General features: G+C 51.5%; 1 protein-coding gene across 2 annotated transcripts, besides 1 other annotated feature; it reads left to right on the top strand.

The window, feature by feature from the left end:
- The first annotated feature begins 829 nt into the window (after nucleotides 1-829).
- On the top strand, nucleotides 830-19,626 carry PVALB (parvalbumin). 2 transcript variants are annotated; one of them, NM_002854.3, is made up of 5 exons: nucleotides 830-898; nucleotides 3,317-3,384; nucleotides 5,094-5,226; nucleotides 6,574-6,683; nucleotides 19,411-19,626. In NM_002854.3, exons 2-5 carry the CDS (start codon nucleotides 3,324-3,326, stop codon nucleotides 19,437-19,439), a joined length of 333 nt encoding a protein of 110 aa, NP_002845.1. In that variant the 5' UTR covers nucleotides 830-898; nucleotides 3,317-3,323; the 3' UTR covers nucleotides 19,440-19,626. The 2 variants fall into 2 exon arrangements, with proteins under 2 accessions (NP_002845.1, NP_001302461.1); NM_001315532.2 differs by lacking the exon at nucleotides 830-898 and having other exon boundaries at nucleotides 3,294-3,384.
- Nucleotides 12,202-12,928: an enhancer, noted in NCBI's record as "NANOG-H3K4me1 hESC enhancer chr22:37203445-37204171 (GRCh37/hg19 assembly coordinates)". NCBI's record gives its function as "activates a minimal SCP1, AML or CMV promoter by ChIP-STARR-seq in primed H9 embryonic stem cells {active_cell/tissue: H9 hESC(primed)}" and the evidence as "EXISTENCE:reporter gene assay evidence [ECO:0000049][PMID:30033119]".
- Nucleotides 19,627-19,727: the final 101 nt, after the last annotated feature.

Here is a 19,727-nt window from a genome sequence, read left to right as displayed (position 1 = left end):
GTATTTATTGAATTCATTTGGTCATTCATGCTTCTCAAAACACATCCCTCAGCTGGTCCTCTCCAATCCAAAACAGACAATGTCAGAGATCTCTTTGCAAATCATGAAGGGCTTGGGCCTTTGTGCCTCAATGTCACACGCATACAATTTCAGGGGGTCCATCTTCCCCTCGCCCTAGACCATCTATAGGGCACAGTTTACCTCTGATTGAGCTCATGTTACAGGTGGAAAGACTGAGAAAGAGAGAGGAAGGGACTTGTCTGAGAATATGCGGAACATTTCCTTCTACCAGGCACTAGATCCTCGCACAAAAGTGCTGAGTCCGCTCCCAACCCCAGGCCCGTGGCTTTGAGCAGCAGGTCACTTAACATCTAACGTCTTTATGCTGTTTCCTCATCTGTGCGAGAGCAGCTATGTCTACCTGGCAAGGCTGTAGTGAGAGATCATATCAGCATAGGAATGGGGCTCAGCCCCATGCACAGAGGACAGTTCTTGTTTCATTCTTTTCCTTGCTGTTTCTCTTCCTTTCCTGGCAGAATATGGAGGAAGGAAGCATCGCTGCCATCTACAGTGGTCACGGAAGGCTTCATGGAAGAGGCGAGCCCTGCCTGGGCCTCAATTTTGGGTGCTGGAGGGAAGCAGGGGCCAAGAGTTATTAATAGTCTTGGCCTGATGGGCCCAGGGAGGCTGAATGTGATACAGACACCCAGCACCACGGTTGGGGAGTACCTGACACCGGAAGGGGAGGGGGCCGGGGCTACGGGGAGTGCCACCTCCCAAAATAGCCAGAGCAGAAGCCTATATAGGTGGCCATCCCACCTCCAGGCTCACTTCCCGACAGGACTTCCCACCAGCCCAGCCTTTCAGTGCAGGCTCCAGCCCTCCACCCCCACCCGAGGTGAGTGGCAGCTACCGAGGTTGGAGGATAGAGGGATGCAGCAGGATGAGCCAGCTGGAAGGGAGAGCTACATCTCCCCTGTCCGTAGTGACCCGGGGAGGGGGGTGCGGTGGGGGTGCTGGAGGCAGGGCAGCTGTGGAATGTAGGGCTGAGAGCATGCATTCCTGCTTCTCCACCCAGACTCCTGGTGTGGCCTGGGGCAAACTCCCCCCACCCACCGCCCCCCGTGGCTGGGCCTCAGATTCCCCAGCCTTAGAACGAGAGGGCTGGAGTCAGACATCTGTGGACTCTGGTGATGCCATCAGAGAGGACCCAGAGGGCAGAGGAGGACTACCCAGGGCTGATGGGCTGACCTAATGACATTGATGCTCTGGCTGGGAGGGCTCAGTCCCGGAGGGGGTGTCAAGTTGATAGGAGAACTCAGCAGCAGGGAGAGATGGAGGAAGGAGATGGAAGAAGAGTGGGCCCCTGTTGAGGCTGCAGCCTTTGCCACAGGGTAGCTGCTTAGGGGCTCACCAGGAGCCAGTGTGTGGCTGAGATGTATGGGACCTGATAGAGCTGGGTCCCAGGCACCAGGGAGGATCACCCAGAGAGTCACTGAACTCCACACGAGTGAGTCCAGGGGTGTACCCTGCTCTGCTATTGCTTTACCATGTGTCCTTAGACCATTCACGGACTCTGTGCCTCCGTTTCTCCACTGGTATAGCTGAAGCGTCCTTCAGCTGGGGAAATCCATTCTCCAACTAGGCTCCTGGAGTGAGCTGAGCCTGGGAGTTGAAATGATAGCATAGGAGCCTGGCATATCTGAGTCAGCAGCCCAGCTGGGGACAAGGTGCAGAGGTGACGGCAGTAGCAGCAGGGTCCAGGGCAGCTGAGGGGTCCTGGGAAGTCCTGGAGCTGAGAGGCATCAGGTCAGGAGCTGCATCCTTGGTGCCTTGGAAGCCATCTGGCGGGCTGTGGCTTGAAGGAGCTGACTCACAGGGAGGGGGCAGCTGGAGCCAGCAGAGGTATCCTAAGGTTTCCAGGAAGGGCAGCCATCCAGGGCTGAGCTGCAGGAGACAATGTTGACAGCGATGTCAGGGAACTTGAGTTACTGGGCAGCTGGACAGCTGCTCTCCCTGGTCCCCACCACCCAGGGCCACCACAGCCCAAGGCCCTGCCTACCTGCCAATACCTTAAGTTGCAGTCCCCAGGTCCCACTACATGGGACCACTGACGTCATCAACACATCAGAAGGAGACAGAAGCCCAGAGAAGGTCACAACCCAAGGTCACACTGGGACTTAGTGCAGCCCAGGATCTAGAACCCAGGCCTCCTGACTCCCTGTCCAGCGCTCACACACTCTAGAAGCAGCTGGTTGCAGCTTGAAACCTTGGGAACCATGGGGAAGAACACAACGGGTCTCTGGCTGCATACAGATAGGCACCGTGACATTTTTCCAGAGGTGAAGTTCAGACCCCTACACCTGCTTAGGTTGTCTAGAAAGTGTGGTCTGAAGGTGCTACCCTTCTTCCAAACACATATGGGGCTTTCTGGGAGGGAGCATAGCAATTCCAAGCGGACTCTCCCACCCTACTCTGCCCAAAAAAGGTTTATAGGAGTAGGGGGAGTCTGGACCCATGATGCCAGGACCCAGGAGACCAGGAAAGCAAGTAGTTAGTAGAGATCTGAGAAGTGTTCTTCGAAAAATCAAGCCAGCAAAAAAATAAAAAATAAAAGTAAAACATCAAATCAGGTTTTAGAATATGCATCCCTGGCCAGATGTGGGATGGGGCACCCGAAGTGGGCCCCAGCAGCTCCTGCCTGTCCCTGTCCCTGTCCCTGCCACCTCCTCCCTGCGTCGGGTGGGTCAGGTTTCAGGACCTCAGCGCTCAGATTTTGCAGCATAAATTTGCATCCAGGACAGACCAGAGCAGAGGCTGAGGTAGGAGTGGAGAGAGAAAGGGAGCAGGGCCTAGGAGGTCCTGAGGTGCAGGCTGGCCGCTGAAGGTTCAGGATCTTCCCCCACGCGGCAGGACATCCGCCAAGGTTCCCAGATCTGAGACGGCGCACCTCCTGCGTGTCCTTGACGGCAGGTGGACTTTCCAGACCCAGCTGGTGACGCCAGTGCCCCCTAAATCCCAGAGGTGGCCCCTTCCCTCGTGCCCTGGCCGCAGCCCCTGGGATCCCGCGGACCCCTGGCCTGGCGGTGCAGGAGTGGTAGCAGGTCCGCGCGCCTTCTTGCCGGCGGCCGGCGCTGCTCAGCGGCGCGGCTGGACTGAGCCGCTCCCGCTGCGCTCAGAGTCCGGGCCCCTGGCGCCATGCCAGGCCCGGCGGGCGTGCGCCCGGCGCGCAGCACTGCAGCGCTGGTCATATGAGCAGAAATGATGAGAAAAGCACTTTTTAATCTTTTCGCACTTGCTCTGCCCGCTCAAACAGTTGCAGGATGTCGATGACAGACTTGCTGAACGCTGAGGACATCAAGAAGGCGGTGGGAGCCTTTAGCGGTGAGCAAGCGCGCTCCCCTCCCCATCCCTCTCCCCTCGTCCACCGCCCGCGCCCCTGCACTCCGCCGGCCCCGCAGCCGGCGGATCCTCCCCAGCGCGCTTCTGCCCACACTTCCCGCTGGGCGCCGGCGAGGTCGGGGCGGGGGCGTCCTTGGCAGTTCCCAAACTCTGTCCGGGCGAGGCTTGGCGCGGGGAGCGGGCGGGGAAGAGGGCGCCCCGCCTAAGTTACAGAAACTTGAGGGTGCTGAAGGCCCGGTGGCTGGGAGGACTCAGGGTCCGGGACCAAGGGCGAAGACCAGGGTCGGAGGAGAGACCTCCAGGGTCCTTGTACGAGCTCTCTGGACGTCCTCTTTAAGGCACTTAGAGGGGACTGCAGGGGGCATCCTCCTCTCCAAGAGACCCCTTTCCTGGACCCTCATTCTGGACAGGACTTTTCCCGCCAGGCGGTAGCCTTTGTTGGCCCCCTGACTGTCCTAGTTCCTTTACTGAGATTCAGCAACGGACCTGCGGGCGAGGTGACCTTCTGGAGCCGGCGCACAGCTCTGCCTAAGCCCGCACGGGGCATCCTCAGTGCCTCAAACCTCCAGCCTCCTTAGGCGGGCAGGGGAGGGGAACTGGCAGTCTCACCTCTCCCAGCTGCCCGGGACTTCAGCGCTAAGCTGCCCGCCTTCCTCCTCCCCTGTCCTCCAGATGGGGAAATCAGGGAACTGTCTTGGAGAGGACAAGACATTTGCCCAAGGTCACCTAGCTGGGCAGAAGGGGTATTAGAACTGGGTTGCCCAGCCTAGTGTCGGAGGTGGACAGGGCAACTTTCCTTGTCTCTAGCCCTGTGCTGAGGGGAAGAGAACATGACTTCAACAGCCATTCCCTACACACACACACACACACACACACACACAAAATACATGATCTAACATTGTACCCTTCCCCAGGTGTTCTAAAACAGGACCCCAAGATACAGAAAATTGCAGGTAGAAAAGGACCCCCATTTCCTTTCTGCTTTGCACCCCCTCCCCTGGGCACAAGAACCTCTCTGGGAAGCCACCCTCCCAGGGTCCTGGGATAACCCTCTCCCTTCACCTCAAGCCCATGTGGGAAGAAACTTAACTGGGTGTTTCTCGGGAGCCTCCTAACACCCCCTTCCCACTGCCTCCGAAGTGGATTTCTGCGCAGAGCCAGGACTTCCGGGTTTGCCCCTCCTCCTCCCACTGTATGACCTTGAGGGAAACCTGTCCTTTCTATGTCAATTTTCTGGCAACAAAGTCTGTGGCCAAGAAAGAAGGTCAACCCTCCTCCCCCTAACCCCAGGACCATGTTCATGCCCCCTTCAATTCCCCAGCCCACTCCCAACCAGCTGGCACTCAAAAGTCTTCCTGGGCACAAGGTTCTCAGAAGAACAAAAGCCTTTGGTTCTTAGGTGCTGCTCCCATCATCAGCAATGGGTGCAGTGGAGGTGGGGCGTGGGGGCGGGCTTGAGAGCCAGGGAGGTCTGGGTTTGAGCACACCTCTTCCACTCCCAGCCTTGTGACCTTGGACAGGTTATCCTCCCTTGCCCGGGCTCCCTCAGCCCTCCAATGGAGGTGGGTACCTCTCATTCCCCATGACTGGCATGTGGGAATCCATCAACAAATGCCTTGATGCCCCCCATTCTCCCAGGCTTCCCTACCAGCCTTTCTGGTCCTTGTTTGACCCTGCTCTTCCCCCCACAGCTACCGACTCCTTCGACCACAAAAAGTTCTTCCAAATGGTCGGCCTGAAGAAAAAGAGTGCGGATGATGTGAAGAAGGTGTTTCACATGCTGGACAAGGACAAAAGTGGCTTCATCGAGGAGGATGAGCTGGGGTAAGCGGAGGCCTGCAGGGGCTGCCCAGCCCACGGCTGCACGAGAGGGAGTGGGGGCTGGGACTCTAGCTTCCAAGTGTCCATCAGACCTGCCTTTCACTCTGCCTGCTTCACAGAAAGTAACCGTGCGTGAAGGCAGGGCTCCGACCCAGGGCACCAGGGGAGAAGGCTTCCTGGTGCTATTGCTTCGGAAGAGTAAAACCCTCAGCTGAAAGTGCAACTAACTAGGTTAAATGATAGCCACTTAATATTGCTAATGGAATGTTGCTACTTAATAATTTAATGCAAATGAAGAGGCAGTTTTCTTGCTGCCTAACACCATAGGCAGGGCAGAAAGCATTCACTTGAGTATTTCATTGATTTTCATTTGTCTAAAAGACACTTTCCACCTTCCTGCAGCCCCCAGCCCTCTGGTACTAGTGTGGCTGGTGCAATTTCTAGGCAAGCCAGGGATGCAGAACCACCTCTGAGAGTCCAGGGGTCCTTGGAGAAAAGCAGAGAAGGAGAAGGCTGTGGCTAGGAAAATGCATGCCTCCATCTGCAAAAGCATCTCCCACCATAATTCCCTCAGCCACCCGGCCATGTCTACTGACTCAGGTTGCCTTATGTCACTTTCTGGCCAAGAAAGCCTTGAGTTTTGTCAAAAAGAGAAGCGGGGGGTGGGTGTAGGGAGAGGCCTTTCAAGTAGGGACTTCCCCACCCATCCTGTCTCTCCCCTAAACCATCTCACAAGGGTACCTTCTGTCTAGAATCTTCACGTTCTACCCACTTACATCCAACATGCATGCACACTTATGCACACACACACACACACACACACACACACACACACACTCACAGAGGCTGACTTCCCCCTGTCCTCCAGGTATCACCTTCACCAGGAAGCCTCCCCTCTCCTCCCCTCACCGCAGGTGGGCAGATACAGCTTCTGAGTGCCCTCCTCCACGGCCCATCACACTGTGTGGTCTCTCTCGGAGCCCGTGACCTCCTTATTTTTTCCAGTGCCTTCCGAAGATCACCACTGTGACCCCACTTTCCAGCATACGCCAGACACAGAAATGACACTTAGTGAATACTTGTTGGATAAATTAACGAATGTAGGTGCCCTCCCTGAAGTGAGGACAACCCTTCACTGAGGACAGCCTGTCCTTTCCTAAATACTCACCCACGAAAGCACAGCCACCGAGCAGGCTACCTGGCCCAGAGCATCCGTGTGCGTGACTGCTGCTCGCTGCCTGTCCCAGCCATCCCTTTCCCCATACAGAAACCAGACCACCCTCCATCCAGCGTCCTGCAAGGCGACCTCGGCCTGACTCCCTCACCGGCTTTCTCCCTTTTCTCCTCCAGATTCATCCTAAAAGGCTTCTCCCCAGATGCCAGAGACCTGTCTGCTAAAGAAACCAAGATGCTGATGGCTGCTGGAGACAAAGATGGGGACGGCAAAATTGGGGTTGACGGTGGGTAGCCGTGACCTGGGGTCTGGGCATATTGTGGATCTTGGGGTGTTGGATGCGAAAAGTTTGAAGCTATGTCTGTCACAAGGAAGGGATGATATGGGGGTCCCTCACTCCCCCAGATTAGAAGACAAAAAGCAGTCCATTAGGTCTGAGAGCTCTGCCACATACTCCAGACAAAGGAAAACTGGTGTATTTTCCTAATTTGAAAACCTAAAAGGAATAGATTCTGTTTTTCCTGCTGGGTAGGGGATCCAGGAGGATTTGGGATTTTTTTTTCCTGAACTCTGCCTGCATTTTTGCATGGATACTGGCCCAACCTCTGCCCAAACTGGCTGTGTGACCTTGGGCAGTGTCTCTCGATCGCTGGGCCTCTGTCTCCCATCTCTAATCCAACGAAATGAGGCCGACTAATCCCCAAGGATCCTCTGCCTCTCACATCCTCAGATTCCAGGGATGGAAATTCCTATCTCCTGTCCTCCTCAGCATCTTGTCCTGGTGTCCTGTAACCCCAAGTCTCAAAACCTGTTTGGGTTTTACTCAAATATACTATTCTAGCCTTGCAGCAGAGCCAGGAAAAACAGTAAACCAGAAATCAGTGGGGAATTCAGACAGGGAATACCTGGCCCTGCCTTGCTTTGCAGGCTTCAATGTCAGCACAGGTGAGAGACCAGTGGCCCACCGTCCACTCCTTTCTCCATTTGGCTCTGTGTGGCATTCATGGAGCACACCCACATTGCTATCTCTCTTAGCTTATGATTTTCTCCGGAATTATCTCCATTTTGCAGGTGGGCAAATGGACTTTGAAGGTGCTTAGCCTAGTTGAAAGAGCTAGGACATAGCGGTGGAGTGGGGATTTAGAACCAGGCCTGAATGAGTGTTTGCAACATACTAAGCTGCCATTTGTTCCCATAATAGGCTTTTCTGCTGGTCTCAGAGAAAACTGTGTGTAGGTGTTTGGCCTCTGGGCCCCAGGCTATCTGGGTTCAAATCCCAGCCCTACCACTTTCGAGCTGTGTGACCTTGCGTAATTTGATAACTACTCTGAGCCTCTGTTTTCTCATCTCTGAACTGAATAGAATGATAATTCTTACAGGGTGATTACAAGGGTTAGATGTGTTAATATGTAAAGTGCCTAGAACAGTGTCTGGCACAGAGTAAATGTTATATATGTATTTGTTAGCTAATTTTTTTAAAACTAGGTCCCTTCGCAAGGGTACCTTCTGTCTAGAATCTTCACGTTCTACCCACTTACATCCAACATATAAGTGGATGTAAAACTTAAAACTAGGGATTGGGTTGCATTCATCCTTCTAGCCCCAGTATCTAGCCAATACCCCACACAGAGCAGGTGCTTCATAAACATCCGCTGCCTGAGTGTAAAGCCCAGACCCCCATGCTCTGCTCCTTCTCTGCCCCTTGCCAGCTGTGACCTTGAACACGTCACCTCTGCACACCTACGTTCCCTTGCCCGGCAAATGGGGTGCATCAGCTTCTCCTAAGACCTATTTGGGCTTGTTGTGAAAATTAAGATTCTGTGAACCCAAAATTGCTTTGGGAAAGGTACAAGGATTATGAAAGTAGGTGTATGCCTATGAGTTAGAGGGTTTTTTTTGTTGTTGTTGTTGTTGATTTCTTTTCTGTTTGTTTGTTTCCTGCCAGTAACGAGAATGGAGAATCCCTATCCAGGTCAAATGCAGGGGGTCCCCTGGCCATCTGATGCCAGCTGCCCTTCTTGTGGCTGGGAAGGAGGGAGGTGGTTTTAAAGGAGTGGAGCAGAGGGTATTGGAAAGGCATCATTGGCTTGGCCGCTCCTGGGGCTTCTGGTGCTTGGCAGATCCTCCCTCACACCCCCATCCCCACCAATCTGCTTATCAGACAGCTCCACCCCAAGGCCTGGCTCCCATCTGAACCCTGACCCTGGCCTCCAGACCTGCCTTCCATTTTTATTTGCAGCCAATATGCCATACCTCAGAAGCCCTGGGCTGGGTCTTCATGGCTGACTGCTCACAGAAAACCTACCTGATGAAGAGAAACCAGCCAAACCTGGCCCAGTTCCCTGCCTCCCTCCCTCCCTCCCTGCCACACTCAGATCTTAAGGCATCAACTAAACTCTTCTAACAGATCCAGCAGATGTTGACTGAGTAGCAACTCTGTGCCCGGCAATGGAAGAGGTAAAAATAATTCAGGCCCATTTCCTGACTGGGTGCCCCTGAGCAGCTACTCCTTAGCCCTGAGCCCCAGCTTCCTCATCTGTAAACTAGGCATTATAACATGGAAATGTGGCCTGTAGTGCCCAGCACATAACAAATGCTCAATAAATGGCCACTGCAATGCCTTATTTATTTATTTATTTATTTATTTATTTATTTAGAGACAGTCTCTCTCTGTCACCCAGGCTGGAGTGCAGTGGTGTAATCTCAGCTCTCTGCAACCTCTGCCTCCTGGGTTTAAGCAATTCCCCCCTCCCCCAGCCTCCTGAGTAGCTGGGATTACAGGCACGCACCACCATCCCCAGCTAATTTTTGTATTTTTAGTAGAGACGAGGTTTCACCATGTTGGCCAGGCTGGTCTCGAACTCCTGACCTCAAGTCATCCGCCCACCTCAGCCTCCCAAAGTGCTGGGGTTACAGGCATGAGCCACTGCACCCGGCCATGCAATGTCATTTTTATTGTCTGCAAATTGCTTGCAGCTCTACACATATACACAAACAAGCGATAGTGCCAGCCAGAGGCAGAGGCGCAGGCATCAGGCATTTTGTACGGACTTGGAGGCTAAGCCACAGGCTGTAGGGGACAGAGGGAGTGGGGTCCAGGCAAGGTATTGGCATCAGCCAAGGCTGGAAACTTTTGGGTATGTTCAGAAAGGGGCAAGAAGATTGTTTTGCCAAGAATGGGAGGAAAGAATTATTAGCTGGGCATGTCATGTGTGTCCAGCCTAGTGCTGGGTTTGGTTACCTCATTTGACCTTGGGACAACAGAGGACATAAGTGCAGATGTAGAAAGGGCAGCCCAGGGAGTGAGTGCAAGGTCACAATGCCAGCAAGTGTCAGGGCCAGGATTCAAACCCAACAGCATGGTCCAGGCCCACCTGTGCAGCCTCCATTGAGCTCATAGGCAAGACATAAAATAGACAATGAGCACAGACCACCCTGAGGCACTGGGGCCCCACACTTCATGCTTTTGAGGTGGGAAGATGCAGATGCCCCCTTCCTCACTCCCAACCCCCTAACGCAGGAAGGGTGGGTGCAATGATGCCCAATAGGCAGCGAGATGGGAAGCAGAGCCTTTTTGGGGCCCAGGACGTTCTGTTTCAGATACTCTGCTTTGCTGTCACTCTCTCTAAAGGCCAGAAGGCCCGAGCCCCACCTATAGCTGGAAGATGCCTTCAACTCCTGGCGGGATCTGGGGCATGTCCCAGAGCCCCTCTGACCATAAAGTGCCTTGTCTTTAAAACCATGGGGCATGCCGGGCGCAGTGGCTCATGCCTGTAATCCCAGCACTTTGGGAGTCCAAGGCGGGCAGATCACAAGGTCAGGAGTTCGAGACCAGCCTGGCCAACATGGTGAAACCCCACCTCTACTAAAAATACAAAAATTAGCCAGGCGTGGTGGCACACACCTGTAATCCCAGCTACTCAAGAGGCTGAGGCAGGAGAATCACTTGAACCCAGGAGGCGGAGGTTGCAGTGAGCCAAGATCACACCACTGCACTCCAGCCTGGACAGCAGAGCTAGACTCCATCTCAAAAACAAAACAAAACAAAACGAAAAACCAAAAAAAAAAAAAAAAAACATGGGACATGGGGCAGATCACTAGCCAATTACTGGGGTGCGTTCCAGCCCCGGGATTTCACAGATGTCTCAGTGGATAAACCTCTACACAGAAGACCACTTCACTATTTTGGCTCAGCTGCGTGACCTTGAGTGATGATGGCAATAGCATCTAAGTTCATAGAGCGCTCAATATGTGCCAGGCACCGTGCTTAGCATTTCACTCATTTAATCTTCCTAGCTATCTCTGAAGTGTATACTATTATGATTCCCATTTTATAGATGAGCACACTGAGGCTCAGAGAGGCTAAGGGCTTGCATAAACCCTTTAGGCTAGGAAGAGAAAAGATCAAAGTCTGAAAGTCGGGTCTTTTGAGCTCCGAAGCACGTGACCTGTGCTGCCTGCTTCATTCATTCATTCATTCATTCATAGTTTAATTTACTATAAGATGATTATATTTATTGACTTATTGCCTATTTCTTTCTCCTCCACTAAGATGTCAGGTCCACTGAGCAGGAACTTTGTTTTTTTCAGTTCTAATCCCAGCACCTAGAATAGGGCCTGGCCCATAGTGGGAGAAAAAGAAAAGTGTATTTGGTTGAATGAATGAATGAATGAATGAACAAGTACCCAGCTCTGGGCAGCACTGTGCAGTGATGAGGATCATAACTGCTGTATGTAGTGGGAGATGATCTGCAAGCCAAGGTTGGGGATCTGTGGAGACTTGTCTGTAGCAGGTGCCAGGGAGCCCAAACCAGGGACTGCCTCTCTTCCCTGCTCTGTTTGTCCTTCTGAAGGTGAGTGATACTTATCAGTTTCTTGAAGATCCTGTATTGAAGGGAGGGGGTAGGAAGACAAAGTTCTAATAATAACCCTTTGCATTCCCGTCTCTGGGGCAACTACTTCCAGGAAGCTCAAAGGCTTTTATAGATGTGGTTGATTCATTCTCAAAGGCCACCCTAAAAGGCTGGTGCAGAGCTGACATGGGGAGGGCTTAAGGCTGAAAAGGAAAGAGAAGCTAGAAAAAGAGGTGAAGGGTGCCAAAAAAAAATCTTTGTTAAAGCACCTGCAGTTGCAAAGCCCAGGCATAAAAAGCAGACAAAGCAGACTATGTGGCAGGTGGCTTTTCAAACACTTCACCTTCACAACAGGTCTCCAGCTGGGAGCGGGTGTCAGCATCACCTGGAGGGCCTATGGCAACACAGATGGCTGTGCCAGACCCCAGGAGTTTCTGATTCCTTAGGTGGAGCCCACACTTTTGCATTTCTTACAAGTTAGCAGATGGTGCTAATGATCTGGCGAACCACACTTAGAAGACCACTGCCTTACAATAATCCTAGGAAGTAGATGCCGTCACTATCCCCATTTTGCAAGTGGAGAAACTGAGGCATCGTGAGAAGTGACATGCCCAGGGTCTCTCTGTAGCAGAGCTAGAACTGAGGCTCGGTGGTCCAGCCAGGACCCTCTGCCATCCTGCCTCACACGAGCATGTGTCCCCAGCCTGGGCCTTCCAAACTCAATGCCTGCCCCCGCAGAGTGTGTTGACCAACAGGAATCGAGGTTAGCATTCATCCCCACTTCCTGTGTGCCAAGTACAGCACACAGGCCTTACATCTTTTAACTCATTCAAACCTCCCAACAGCTCTACAAGATATTTTTGTTACTGATACATACAAGGAATCTGAGGCCCCGGGAAGCAGAGCGACTTGCTGTGAAGCCTCAGGGCCCTCTTCAAACCTTGACTCCTAATATCTTGCTGCAGAGAAGATCCGCATGCCCCGTGTGCACACGTGCCTGCACGCAGTCCTAGTTACATTCTTCCTGAAACCCATTCCCGGCGATGGATCCACTGCCCTCTGCTTTAAGTGTGTCTCAACTCAAGAGTTTGGGGTTTGCATTTTGCTTCTGTTGCTGAAACATGTAGTCATCATTATTGCCTAACCTTGCAACCCCCCCACCCCTTGCCACTCACTCGCATGCCTGAAGGAATTTGCCTTTTCTGCTTCCCTCTGGCAAAATCTGTTCCCTTTTATCCTTAAGTAGCCTATTTACCGTGAGAGGCGTGAGAGGCGGAGTGGTAGCGTAAGGCCTTGGGCTGTGGTGGAGCACCTGAGTCAGGCAGAAATTAGAAAGCCAAATGCTGGGGATCAGCCGTGGGAATGGCTGTATCTTTTCCTCTCTCAGGACATCCATTCCCACACCTGGAAAGTGGGGAGAAAAATACACACCTTACAGGGCTGTTGCTCGAATGAAGAGAATGTTCTAGAAATGATTCCTTTCCTCTTATTTTATGGGAATGTTTTGCTCGTAAGCCACCCAAAACCTTTTAAAAGTGGTGGAATCTCAATCCTCAACAGAAAGGAAATTGAGTCTAAAGCAGGAGAAAAGTGAGAGAGATAGAAGGAGAATTTGCCGTTCTCCCTGTAATTCTAGCCCTCCGGCCTCTATGGGGATTTGATTTCTAAGTAGGACAGGATGCTCAGATCAAGGCTAGCCCAGGGTTTTGAGGGCAGAGCCCTAAGGTGCACGATGCTTTGTCCCATCTCATTGCACCCTGGTACCAGCTCAATGAGGTTTAGGGGACACTGTGATGCCCACTGAGAGACTTGAAAACTGAGGCCCCGTAGACAGTAAGTGCCAAAGTCACATAGAAGTCCTTGGCCCAACGGGACCCGGGTCTCCTGACTCCACCACTCCCTCCCCTAAGCTGAGCTGAGACGTTTTAGTTATAAATGGCTTCTGTGCTTAGCAATCTGCTCTTTTTATTCCCGTGTGGACTTTCCCTAGCTCTGGCCTTATGCTGCACTAGAAAAGATTTAGCAAGGGGAGAGGAAGCAGCCTTCCTTACATAACTGGCCTCTTGTGAAAGGGAGCAGCTGCTTGGTGGAAAAAGACATTCCCCTCCATGCATCCCTCTCCTTCTGCCTCTGGGGGTTGCAGCTTGAGTCAGAACCAGGACCATTTAACTCCAACCTTTGAGGAAGAGACGCACCCTGGCCCCAGCCACGCCTGTTAGAATCTTCCTAGCTGAGTGACACAGTGACACTCAGCCTCAGTTTCTCTGTAAACAAAATGAAGATAAGAGAGCCGACGAGGATGAAATGGAATAACACACCGTGCGGTGCCTGGTACAGAGTGAGCCCCAGAACTGTTGACGCGGCCTCCTTGTGGCTGTCTGGCTTGACCCGGAGTGACTCTGCCTCCCAGTTCTCCGGGATGGGAAGGTGATCCCTGTTTGAGATACCAATTTATAAGAAACCGAGCCCGGGAGCTATTTAGAGGTGAGGTGATAAACCAGGAGGCCGGCTCCTTCATCCCGGTCATCACGACAGAGGGAGGGAAAGAGCCTTCCAGCCGCTGACTCAATGGCCGGCTCAGTTTCGCTTTGGGCCATCAGCGTGTGTTGCTCTCACCTGTCAATAGCTTCTAAATTTGTCCAATCCCCGCGGCCTTGGACTGGGACAGACCTAATTAGGCTAATTTCAGTTTCCTAAGGGAAAGAAAAGAACAGAATCCTCTAGTCCTCTGATCCTCCCTCTGCTGCCTCCTTCCCACCCCCATCCCTACCATCTACCTCCTTTGTCGCTTTCTGGTTGGACAATGATGACATCTGCAAGCTGGCCCCAGAGGGTCTTGGGCGAGGATTTAGACTGCAAAAGTACTGCTGTCCTTTCATGTCTTAGAAGAGAATGACCATTCTGGATACCTCCAAAGGAAGACTGTCTCTTCTACCTGTCAACATTAAGAGTTGATTTAGTCGCATTCCCACTGTGTGCCAGGCACTGTGCTGGGCACTCCTTCTCCATTATCTTATGGAGCCCTTACCATAACCCTATAAGGAGATAGTCCCAGTATCCCCATTTTATAGATGAGGAAACTGAGGATCAGGAACTAAGTTGCCACGGATGGATGTGCCGGAGGTGGGATGCTAGCTCTGATGGGATAGATGGGTCGGAAACTTGTACCAGGTCAGCTGGCTGCTCTTTAGGCTTTCCGTGCCCTCTGTTTATATCTTCCTTGTCTTGCTTAGTTTCAGGACTTTCGTAGTTAATGTTATGTCAAAGCTCCAACCTGTGTCTGTTGTGCTGGGGAGATCCACACGGGAGGCGGAACTAACACTTATAAACCAGTTACTGTGTGCCAGGCGTACTACCCCATCTGGTCTTTCTAATAGCCATCCAAACAGGCATTATTATACCCACTTTACAAATGAGAAAGCTGAGCCTCAGAGAGCTAAAGTAGTGACTGATGGCCACCTAGCCAGATAGTGATGGAACAAGATTCAGATGTAGGTCCAGGGTTGCTGGATGATTGTAGGTAGGTGCCAGGGCGGAGGCAGGAAATGCTGGGATCATGGAGACAAACAATGGCAACAAGAACAACGATGATGCTAACAAATACCAGTTACAATACCATTTAGAGCCTCCTGCTTCTGCCGGGCAGCAACTAGGCGTTTATAGGCTTGGTTTTAAAGTGGCTTGAAGTACAGAAACACCTTGGTTGCAACACCACCAGATACCGAGAGCTTGCTATGCATCAGGCCTGTGACCGAGAGCTTTAGTGCTGGCTCCTCTGAACAACTTAAGGAAGTGGGCACTATCATGAGCTCCATTTGACAGGTGAGGTGAAGCATCTAGTCGAAGGTCACAGGAACAAGAAATGGGAGCTGGGAGTTACCCCCAGCTTGCTTGCTCCAAACACCGTGTGACAGCTGGAAAGGCGTCTTCTAGACCCAACACTCACTCATAAGAAAAGCAAGACCAGGGAGGATGAGGCATCTTGTCCAGGGACAGCAGCAGATGGCAAAGCCAAGACTAGAACCCGACCATTCAAAGCTACATTCCCCATCCTGGGATCCTACCTACCACCAATTCAGCTGACCTAGAGTTTACAGGATCTTTGTGTAGTCTTTGTTTGTTTGTTTGTTTGTTCGTTTGTTTTTGAGACAGAGTCTTGCTCTGTCACCCAGGCTGGAGTGCAGTGGTGTGATCTTAGCTCACTGCAATCTCCACCTCCCGGGTTCAAGCTAGTCTCCTGCCTCAGCCTACTGAGTACCTGGGATTACAGGCGCGCGCCACCACTCCCGGCTGACTTTTGTATTTTTAGTAGAGACGAGGTTTCACCATGTTGATCAGGCTGGTCTCGAACTCCTGACCTTGTGATCTGCCCACCTCAGCCTCCCAAAGTGCTGTGATTACAGGCATGAGCCACTGCACCCAGCCAGTCATTTGTTTTTCTTTAAGGAGAGACCTGGGCATTTTAGAGGAAGGGTTTGGCTAGGAGACCTGTTCGTTAATTGGCTGGCTCCTAAGAGCTCAGCCCTGAGGCAGATAGGAAAGGCACGGAAGGGGTGGCTCCTGCCCTCAATTTATCTACAAAGTCCCCTATTGAAGGTTCTGAGGGGATAAAATTAGAATTCCGTGTTCTCTGCCGAAGGCCAGCGCATGTGGCTACTGTGATGTCCTGGCTGCTTGAGAACAGATTGCAGGGTGGGCAGAGGGGCTGATTTAAGAGGCTTTCAAAAACCCCACAGCTCCAAAGTACCTCCCAAAGTCTGGCTCCAAAATGTCTGACTTTCCGTCACCGGAGAGTCCCTCATTGGTGTCCCTGGGTCCCCGTCACACCAGCTGCACCAAATCCCGTCTAGTGTGAAGGTGACCAACGGGCTATTTACCGATGAGCAGCCTGAGAGCCCATAATTTCCAGAGTGAGGATGAAGGGGTCAGGGCAGGCTGGAAAACAGAGAGGACCAGCTTCCCCTCTTGACAATCTCTCCATGAGCAGGCGGTGATGGACAGGCTCATGCATCCTTTATCCCAGGACAGAGAAACTCAGTGCCCCCAAACAGGGAATGCCAGTGCTGGATGAAATGACAGGTTGAAGCTGTAGAGGGTTCATGCTTCTGCCTGAGCTGGGACACTAGCCCTCTCAGGAGTAGCCTCTCCACATTCATGTAGCAGGTTCCTGAGGCCAGAGGCCAAGTCCTGGCTCTGCCTCTTGTTTTCCACATGACCCTGACACCTCACCTTCCCAGCCTCCATTTCCCCATCTATAAAATTAGAATCCTCCCAGACTGTCATGTGAATTATATAAAGTAAGTCAGAACTTGTTGATCCCTAAGAAGGACTCGTGAGCTATCCCATCCACCCACCCAACCACCCACCCATCCATCCATCCATCCATCCATCCATCCATCCATCCACCCACCCACCCATCCATCCATTCATCTTTCTCTCCCTTTATCCATCCCTCTATCCATCCATTCCTCATCCCTCCATCCACCCATTCCTCATCCATCCATCCATCCATCTACCCCCCATCCATCCATCCCTCTATCCCTCCCTCCATCTGTCCATCCATCCCTCCATCCATCCACCCAGAGCTTATTTATGAGCACCTACTGTGTGCCAGGAACACTGTGGCTGCCAGGAGAACAGTGAACAAGAGAGAGGCTCCCCTGCCCTCTAGAGTTTGCATTCTAGTAGGGGGAGACTGACAAAAATAAGTGCATAAATAAGATCATTTCAGAGAGTGCCAAGGACTATGAAGTAAATAAAAAAGGACTAATGCGATGGGATGGTGATATTTGAGCTGGGACATGTGTCACTCTATACCAAGGTCAAAGTAGGTCGGAAACTACAGGGATGAAGAAGGAAGCCTAAGAGCATTTCTAGCTTGAATCATGTCATGGTCAAGCTACTTAATTTTTGAGCCTCAGTTTCCCCATCTGTAAAATGCAGACAAAGGTGTCTCTCCCATGGAGTAGTCATGAGGATTCAATGAGATAATATATGCAAAATGCTTCCCACATTGGCATTCGATAAATGTTAGTTACTAGCTATAATTAATAAAAGTACTGCTAATAAAAGACATCTCAAAATAACCACCTGCCCCACCGAGGTCCTGGAAGATCACAGGCTCCTGGCTGAGAAAGCAAGCACTTTGACGCCTGCCCTATGGGAGGGATTCTGTACGAGTATTTGTTGTTTTGGTATTTATTTGAGACTCCATCCTTGGCACTGCTGTTACCACTCAGCCAGAGAGCCTGGAGATTTCAAAACCAGCTGGTGGACCCTCACTCTCTCCCACCCTGCATCCCCCATATCCAGGTCACCCACTTTTCCTATCCTAGGACAGCCTGGGGACAGGAAAGGATGATGTCTATTTCCTAAGTCAAACCTCAGGAAGGTGAGGCACCCAGGTACGTGTCCCTTCATCTAGCCAGGGCCAGTGCCAGGTTGTTTCTTTCTTTTTTTTTTTTTTTTTTTTTTTGTGTGAGATGGAGTCTCACTCTGTTACCAGGCTGGAGTGCAGTGGCACGATCTCGGCTCACTGCAACCTCTGCCTCCTGTGTTCAAGCAATCCTCCTGCCTCTGCTTCCCAAGTAGCTGGGACTACAGGTGTGCGCCACCACGTCCAGCTAATTTTTGTATTTTTAGTAGAGACAGGGTTTCACCGTGTTGGCCAGGATAGTCTCGATCTCTTGACCTCGTGATCCGCCCACCTCAGCCTCCCAAAGTGCTGGGATTACAGGAGCGAGCCACCGTGCCCAGCCCAGTGCCAGGTTATTTCTACAATACAGCATGTGTTGGTTTGGCTTTTGTGTGTGTGTGTTTTCACTTTTTTATTTTGAAATAATTGTAGATATACAGAAGAATTGAAATGATAGTACAGAGAGTCCTGTACACCCTTCACCCAGCTCCCCCGATGTTAATATTTTACATAACCACAGTACAATGATGAAAACTAAGAAACTGGATAGGTGGGGTTTTACATTTGTATTCCACACAAAGTCCAGGGAGGACGCAGCTCACCTCAAATGAGTCTCAGATACTTTTTGTGGCCTTTTTGAAGCCATTTCACGACCAGTTTTTTATTTGTCTCACCCAAGCAATTATTACTGGCCCCTCTCTTCACTCCACTGACAGATGAGGGAACCAAAACCCAGAGAGATACATTTTCCAGCAAATAGGGCCAGACTAAGCCTGGAAGCCCTAACTTTCAATCCCCAGCCTGTGCTCTCCCCACATCACAACACTCCATTTTCTTTTTTCTTTTCTTTTTTTTGTTTGTTTTGAGACAGAGTCTGACTCTATTGCCCAAGCTGGAGTGCGGTGGCACGATCTTGGCTCACTGCAACCTCTGCCTTCTGGGATCAAGCAATTCTCCTGCCTCAGACTTTGGAGTAGCTGGGATTACAGGCGTCCGCCACCACACCCAGCTAATTTTTGCATTTTCAGTAGATACAGGGTTTTACCATGTTGGCCAGGCTGGTCTCAAACTCCTGACCTCAAGTGATTCACCTGCCTCAGCCTCCCAAAGTGCTGGGATTACACGCGTGAGCCACTGTGCCCAGCCAAGACAACACTGCATTTTCTAGGGCGATGGGCACTTGCCTGAGACCCTACACTCCCCAGCAGGCTGAGACATGGCATCTCAGAGACACGTAGTGGCACGTGGCAGCAAACTCCTTGTCCTCTCTCATCTCCTGGGGAGAAAAACAGCAGAGAAGTCCAGAAATCAGGACCCTGAGCCTCAGTTTCTTCATCTGTAGAACAGGAACAATGCCAAAATGCACCAGACAGGACTATTGTCAGAGTCAAATAAGATATTGCATATAAAGTGTTTCGAATAGTGCCTGGCATATGATAAGCATTCAGAAAACTATTATTATTATTATTGCTATTGTTATTAGTGTAGTTATTATTAATGATTTTGGGTGTGGCATGGCATGATGAACCAAAAGATGTGGTAGGCCCATCATTTCCCACCTCACTTCACTCATCTGCTCATTCATTCATTTATTCATTCATTCATTTTCACACTTACGCTCTGGGGCTGCTGCAGCAGAAGCAAGAACCCAGAGAGAGCACCACCCAGGGCCCCGCAGTCAGGTGTGGACAGTCTCTCTTGCATCCCCGCCTCTGACTCACTTTCCTTGTCATTTTGTTCTGCAGAATTCTCCACTCTGGTGGCTGAAAGCTAAGAAGCACTGACTGCCCCTGGTCTTCCACCTCTCTGCCCTGAACACCCAATCTCGGCCCCTCTCGCCACCCTCCTGCATTTCTGTTCAGTTCGTTTATGTTATTTTTTACTCCCCCATCCCCTGTGGCCCTCTAATGACACCATTCTTCTGGAAAATGCTGGAGAAGCAATAAAGGTTGTACCAGTCAGACTCTGCTTGCTCAGGAAGACCCAGGCCTGGTCAGGCATTGGCTTTCCAGATGCATCTGGGCAGGGGGTGGGGGCTGGATTTCAACAGTTAGAAAAGTTG

The sequence above is a fragment of the Homo sapiens genome, chromosome 22 (assembly GCF_000001405.40).
Source record: "Homo sapiens chromosome 22, GRCh38.p14 Primary Assembly".
Taxonomy (NCBI): domain Eukaryota; kingdom Metazoa; phylum Chordata; class Mammalia; order Primates; family Hominidae; genus Homo; species Homo sapiens.
This window is presented reverse-complemented; position numbering and strand designations above follow the sequence as displayed.

Excerpts from the sequence above, each read along its gene's own strand:
- PVALB (NM_002854.3), top strand. The coding sequence starts at position 3,324 with ATGTCGATGACAGACTTGCTGAACGCTGAGGACATCAAGAAGGCGGTG. Across the intron at positions 3,385-5,093 it reads GGCGGTGGGAGCCTTTAGCG|CTACCGACTCCTTCGACCAC; the intron begins GTGAGCAAGCGC and ends TTCCCCCCACAG. Across the intron at positions 6,684-19,410 it reads CGGCAAAATTGGGGTTGACG|AATTCTCCACTCTGGTGGCT; the intron begins GTGGGTAGCCGT and ends TTTGTTCTGCAG.